General features: G+C 33.7%; 1 protein-coding gene across 2 annotated transcripts in view; it reads right to left on the reverse strand.

The window, feature by feature from the left end:
* The window catches only part of KCTD8 (potassium channel tetramerization domain containing 8), a 274,907-nt gene that overhangs the window by 112,359 nt on the left and 155,316 nt on the right, over positions 1–7,232 (reverse strand). Inside the window, exon 2 of one of the 2 annotated variants that reach the window (XM_011513690.4) lies at positions 7,143–7,226. The exons of the other annotated variant lie outside the window; for it this stretch is intronic. Coding sequence (XP_011511992.1) covers positions 7,143–7,226 — 84 coding nt within the window. The remainder of the gene's footprint in view (positions 1–7,142; positions 7,227–7,232) is intronic. 2 annotated transcript variants of the gene reach the window in all.

Here is a 7,232-nt window from a genome sequence, read left to right on the forward strand (position 1 = left end):
TATCCAATACTTAGATATCATAAATTCAGTATCTCTGAAAATACATTCCTAATGTTCCCTTCTAAATCGACCCCAAATTTAATGTCTCTCATTTTAATTCATGGCAACATTTTCTAATTGCTCAGGAGAAAAACGCTGGAGTACTGTTTAAACCCTTTATAACACAATATATTTGCCAGGAATTGCTGTTGCCTCTACCTTCAAAATGGATCCATAACTGACTACTTTTCCCCATCTCCAGCACTACCACCACCTTGTTTCTCACTTATACAAATGCAATAGTCTCCTAACAGATAAGAAAGCCCAATGTAGCTGGGCATGTGGATGAAGGGGAAGAGGTAATATCGAAGAAAAGGGCCAATAACAGATACGTTTAAAGCTTTCTAGATAAAGGTAAGAAGCTTGATTTTATGCCACTGGGATAAGGAACCTACTGGAGTGTTTTACATAGGGAAGTGACATGATCTTCTCTGTGTTTTAAGAAAAAATAACTTTGCTCCTGGAAAGAGGATGGATGGTTTAGGGGTAAGGGTAAAAAAATAGAGGGATTGAATAGGAGGTATTGCAACAGATCAGAGAAAGATGATGGTGAGAGTGGATATGGAGAGCAGATTCAGGATAGAAGTAGGTAACAGAGGACTTGTTGATTGAGTGACTGAGGTAAAATGAAAGAAAGAGAAATTAATGTAACTATTGGGTTTTTAGGTTAAGCAACCTAGCAGATGGTGTTATTATTTACTAAGTTAAGGAGATTCATTAACTATAGTTTCATAGCATTTTCAAGTATATAGCAGAAACACTTTTCTAATTTAAACATCCTATAGATATAAACCACATAAACTTGCATGAGCTCATTAAAATTGAGAATTTAGAGGCTGGGTGTGGTGGCTCATGCCTATAATCCCAGCACTTTGGGAGACCGAAGGAGGAGGAATGCTTGAGCCCATGAGTTCAAGACCAGCCTGGACAAAAATAGCGAAACCTTATCTCAAAATAAATAAATAAATAAACATTAAATTAATTTGATAACTTAGGAATTATTTTCATACATACAATACTGTTTCTGTGCTATAAAATGAATTATTTAAGCATATCTTGATCATGTTTAAAGTAAATTATTTAAGCGTATGTTGATTATGTTTAAAGATCATGTTTACAAACTTAAAGTAATAGAATTGAAAGTGTCTATAATGTTAAACATTTCACAAATATTTGGCTAACCTATGTGGTAACAATTCCAGGAAAAGGAAATTTATCTATCTCAAGGACTCTAGCACCAAACTCAATTTTTAAACCTATCTAATAATTGAAACACTCTTCCTTACATTAGGCCAAAATCTACCTCCTGGAGTATTTATCTAATAGTCCTGATTCTGCCATCTGTGGCAAATAAATAGCACCTAATCTAAGATAAACAACATTTGTCACCTTTGGCACCACTTTTAATTCTCTGGCTCACAGCAGGCATTACTAATTTACCACTGTAACTTTTCTTGCTGATCTAGCAGGGTTCCTAATCAGACTTAACACAGTATTCTTGGCAGCCACTACAAATCAATAGAAGATAAAACTAATCCCTTCAAGAAAAATTATTGAGTGTTTATTATGTTTCTGCATTCATTCAAGGAATCCACAGTCGACTTGTATGTAGATGGTTATACAATAATCTCATAAATATTATAAGAAGTATAGAGTATATGCAAGGTCAGGAAAAAAATGGGTATCTGGACCAGATTAAACAGAATAAGGAAGAGTTGCCTTCTTGCTAACAGTCCTTTAGTTGAACAGACATTAAATATATGTCAAATTTTCTTTTCTCCATTCTTAGTGCCCTTAGTATCTTCAAGCTTGTGTGCTAGAGGAGAATGTTAAGGCATATTAGGGAAGGTATTTCTTGTCTTTTTCTATATAAAAGGCACTTAAGACTTGAACATAATTAACATTAGAAGAAGTTGAGAAATGGCTGTAGAGTTCTAATGTGAAGGTATAAATCAAGAATTGTACACTCATCCAAGCATTTCTTCTATAATGAATAGAAAGTCATTGACAACTATGCAAGAGATTGGGTGATTAGTACATAAAAACTTTCTTTAAAAACATGGATACATAAAACTGACAATGAAATCTAGCTAACCAAGAGATTAATTAGAATAGCTCAATTAACAGAAAAATAGTGATACATCAAAAATATATAATGTTGAGTAGTGAATCTATTTAAATATAGAAATTAAACAACTTTGAGTTTGACATGGTTATAATTTCTGCTCTTTCAAAGCAAGGAAGTAGTAGATACTTTGCATAGTTGAAACAATCAAAAACATTGGATGCCTATTCTGTATGACAGTTATTTTCTTAAATTTACAGGTAACTTTTTCTTTTCATGAAGAAACACTCATTTCAAGGTCAACTATGCCTTCAATTTTACATCTGTTCTTCTATCTCAGATATACAAAAGTAAAAATTAAATCAAAGTTTTCTGTTTTTATATGAAAAAGTATCCCATTTTCAAAATTAATTTCTTTCTGACTACCTATCTCACCTACCCTCTTCCTTTCTGCATATATACTGAGAAGTGTATGTATGGAATATGGTCAGAAAAGGCAGGTAACAATCCTTGTTAAAGTGTCAGATTTTTATTCTTATTTGAACTTTTCTAATCAGTATATATCATTTTTTTCTATAAAAACAATAAAGGATTCAATTTTTTAAAAATGATACAGGTTAAAATATATATATAAAAATTTAGTCTTATTAATTTTCATCTTTTTTATTTAGTTTTATTTATCTGCATATTTTGAGAATTCTTATCTTTAAAATAGAGATACTATCTACCTCACAGGATGACTATGAGCTTTAAAGAAACTGATACATGTAAAATTCTTACTAAACTATCAAGTGTTTCATATGTATGTAATTCATTACTCATGTAATGTTAATATTATGTATTATATAATTGCATAACATTACATATTATTAAAATGCTATACTATTAATATTATATAGAATACTATATCATATTACCAATAAAATCTCACAATATATTCAAAGAAACAAAAGTATAAGAAATTTAAATACAAAGACAAAATATAAAGTGGTATAAATACAAAGTGACATATCTAGGGATAGAGCAAAATAAGTCTTACTTATCTATTATTAAAGTACAATAAGGGAACATACTTTGAATAGATCCATGGAGAGAAAACACCAAGAGTTGATACAGAGGCAATGCAGACCCTGAGGGTAAAGAGAAAGGAAGCTGGAAACCCTGTACAGGGTTGTCAAATGCCAGTGCTAGTTCCATCCTAGAACGGCTCCTGGGGAAGGGCTGAGTGAAGAGATGGTGAGGCAACCCACTCTTGCTGTGAAATGTTGGGATCCTAGCTACACGAGATCCCACAACCCCCATAGACATTTTAACTGGTGGGGGTGTGTGGGGGGTCTGACCAGAGAGTACACAGAGAGTAGAGAGAGACAGAGCTCCAGCCTGCATGGAGCCTGGGGGATTTTGCACACAGGGCAGCTGCAGTGGAACGTGGCCACAGGTGCCCATATCCCAAGGCTCTCAATCTTCCCCAAGTTGCTCTAACCCCAGTTGACTGTAGGGTCAAGAGACTGCAGGGCCAAATTTTGCAAGAAATTATACATTCAAGTCTACAAAATAAAAGCTAACAATATGATAACAATATCAAAATCTCACATATCAGTACTAACCCTGAAAGTAAATGGTCCAAATGCCGCAATAAAAAGGCATAGAGTGGGAAGTTGGATCAGAAGACAAGACCCAATTGTCTTCTGTCTTCAAAAGACCCACCTCACATGTAATGACATGCACAAGATCAAAGTAAAGGGATGGAGAAAGATCTACCATACAAATGAAAAACAATAAAGTGCAGGAATCACAATTCTTATATCACATAAAACAGACTTTAAAGCAACAACAATCAAGAAGGACAAAAAAGGGCATTATATAATAAGAAAGGATACAATGCAACAAAAAGGCTTAACTATCCTGATTATGTATGCACCCAACATTAGTGCACCCAGATTCATAAAACAAGTTCTTCTTGACTCACAAAAACACACAGATAGCCACACAATAATAGTAGGAGACTTCAGCACACCACTGAGAGCATTAGACAAATCATCCAGTAAGAAAGCTAACAAGTTTTTGATTTAAACTCCACAATTGAGCAATTATACCTAACAGATGTCTACAGAATGCACCACTCAAAAATCACAGATTATATATTCTTCTCATCTGCACCCAGAACATGTCCAAAGATTGAATACATGCTGGGTCATAAAGAAAGTCTCAAGAAATTAAAAAACTTGAAACCATATCAAGCACTCTCTTGGACCACAGTGCAATAAAAATAGAAATCTATACCAAGAAGAACGCTCAAAACTACACAAATACATGGAAATTTAACAACTTGCTCCTGAGTAACTCTTGGGTGAGCAACAAAATTAAAGCCGAGATTAAAAAATTCTATGAAATTAAAAAAATTAGAGACACATCTTACCAAAAGGTTTGGGATGCAGCTAAAGGAGTATTAAGGGGAAAGTTTATAGAAATAAACGCCTTCATCAAGAAGTTAGAAAGATCTCAAATTAACAATCTAATACTACACCTAGAGGAACCAGGGGAAAAAAGAACAAACCAACCACAAAGTTAGAAGAAGAACAGAAATAACTAATATCAGAGAAGAATTGAATGATATTGAGAAGCAAAAGTCTACACAAAAGATCAATGAAACCTAGAGTTGGTTTTTCAAAAGAATAGACAAAATTATTAGACCATTAGATAGATTAACAAAGAAAGAAAGAGAAGATCCAAATAAGCACAATCAGAAATGACAGAGATAGCATTACAATTGATCCCACAGACACAATATATATTCAGAGACTATTATGAACACCTATATGAACACTAATTAGGAAGTCTAGAGGAAATAGATACATTCCTGGAAACACAAAATCTTCTAAGTCTGAACCAAGAAGAAAGTGAAAACATGAACAGACCAAACAAATAGACCACTGGAACAGAAAAGAGGACCCAGAAATAAAGCCAGAAACCTACAACGATTTGATTTTCCAAAAAATTGTCAAAAATAAGCAATGGAGAAAGGACTCCCCACTCAATAAATGGTGCTGAGATAACTGGCTAGCCATATGCAGAAGAATGAAACTAGACCTCTTCCTGTCATGTTATACAAAAATTAACTCAAGATGAATACAAGATTTAAATTATAAAAATTGTAGAAGAAAAGCTAGGAAATACCCTTCCCGACATTGATCTTGGCTAAGAATTTACGGCTAAGTCCCCAAAAACAATTACAACAAAAACAAAAATTGACAAGTAATACCTAATTAAATGAAAAGAGCTTCTATACAGCAAGAGAAATGATCAACAGTGTGAGCAGACAACCTACAGAATGGGTGAAACAATTCACAAACTATGCATCTGAGAAAGGTCCAATATCCAGAATCTATAAGGAAGCTAAAGAAATCAACAAACAAAAAAAGAAATAATTTCATTAAAAAATGGGCAAAGAACAAGAACAGACATTTCTCAAACAAGGACATGCCAGTGGCCAACAAATGTATGAAAAACAGGCTCAACATCACTGATCATCAGAGAAATGCAAATGAAAGCCACAATGAAATACCATTTCACACCAGTCAGATTGGCTATTATGAAAAAAAAAAAAAAAAAAAAAAACAGGTGTCAGTAAGGCTGTGGAGAAAGAACACTTATACACTCTTGGTGGGAATATAAGTTATTCATCCACTGCGGAAAGCAGTACGCAGATTTAGTGAAGAACGTGAAGTCCCATTCAACCCAGCAATCCCATTACTAGGTACATACCCAAAGGAAAATGAATCATTCTACCCAAAATACACGTGTACCTGTATGTTAATCACTGCACTATTCATAATTGTCAAGACATGGAATTGACCTACGTGCCCATCGACAGTGGACTGCATAAAGAAAATGTGGTACATATACACTATGGAATACTATGCAACCATAAAAAGAATAAAATCATGCCCTTAGTAGCAACATGGATGCAGCTGGAAGTTATCATCCTAAGAGAATTAATGCAGGATCAGAAAACTAAATACCACATGTTCTCACTTATAAATGGGAGTGAAACCCTGACTACACATGGACATAAAGATGGAAACAATAGACACTGAGGATTACTAGAAGTAGAGAGGGAGGAAGGCGTGGTCTGAAAAATTACCTATAGGGTACTATGCTCTCTACCTGAGTGATGGGATCATCTGTACCTCAAATCTCAGCATCACACTATGTACCCATGTAACAAACCTGCACCTTTACCCTCTGAATCTAAAATAAAAGTTGAAATTATTTTTGTAAAAAATATAATTAGGTGGTGGTGCAATTTTTTTTCTTGAGTGACTAGTTATTACAACTAGGTATGTTGAGGGAAAAAAGTCTAGGAAGTATCAAGTAAGATTTAGTCTCCATTAATAATTCCTCAGCTTGAAAGGGCCTATATTTTCCTAATCATTATAGAATTTCCTATGAGATTAAATTTTATCTCATAAGTACCAGTAATTATGCCTAAAACTTGTTTTAATTATAACTTTGAATTCTAAATGTGTCCAACTAATTTCTATTGTTTGTTTACATAGAGACTGTAGGACATATTTTTCTACACCCCCTATTTTGTTTGAAGTCCTTTTCAAGCCTCCTTGTAAACAAATTTCTACAAGACTCTTTGTAGATAAGGGCTTGTAGATAATTTTTTCAGATCATTAAGAGATGTTGATAAAATGCTCAAATAAAATATAAATAAATATTAGGCTACTTAAACAAAATCCAGAATCTGAACAGATGGAAATCTTATCTAAGGATTATTATGGAAAGTAACACCTCAATTTTTTTCAATCTGATAATTTTCCATGCCCATAAGCTGCAGTTGTCTTTTGAAACCTATTTTAAGAGGTTTTTTCTTCTTAGTTGATGACCTTTTCCCTTACAGTTAGAGTTATCAAATATAGTCAACCAAATTACTGAGTCCAAATGCTTTTCAAAAGGAAATGTTCAACTTGCCCAAATTTAAAACCAGATTAATTTATCTGCCATACTTAATGGAGAGTATTAACCTTACCTGCTGCCAAGCATCTGGCCCTGGTTCTGCATCTTGATTCATGCTTGATCTGGCAAGCAATCATAAATAGCCATATATTCAAACCTAGAG

This window comes from Homo sapiens, chromosome 4 (assembly GCF_000001405.40).
Source record: "Homo sapiens chromosome 4, GRCh38.p14 Primary Assembly".
NCBI lineage: Eukaryota > Metazoa > Chordata > Mammalia > Primates > Hominidae > Homo > Homo sapiens.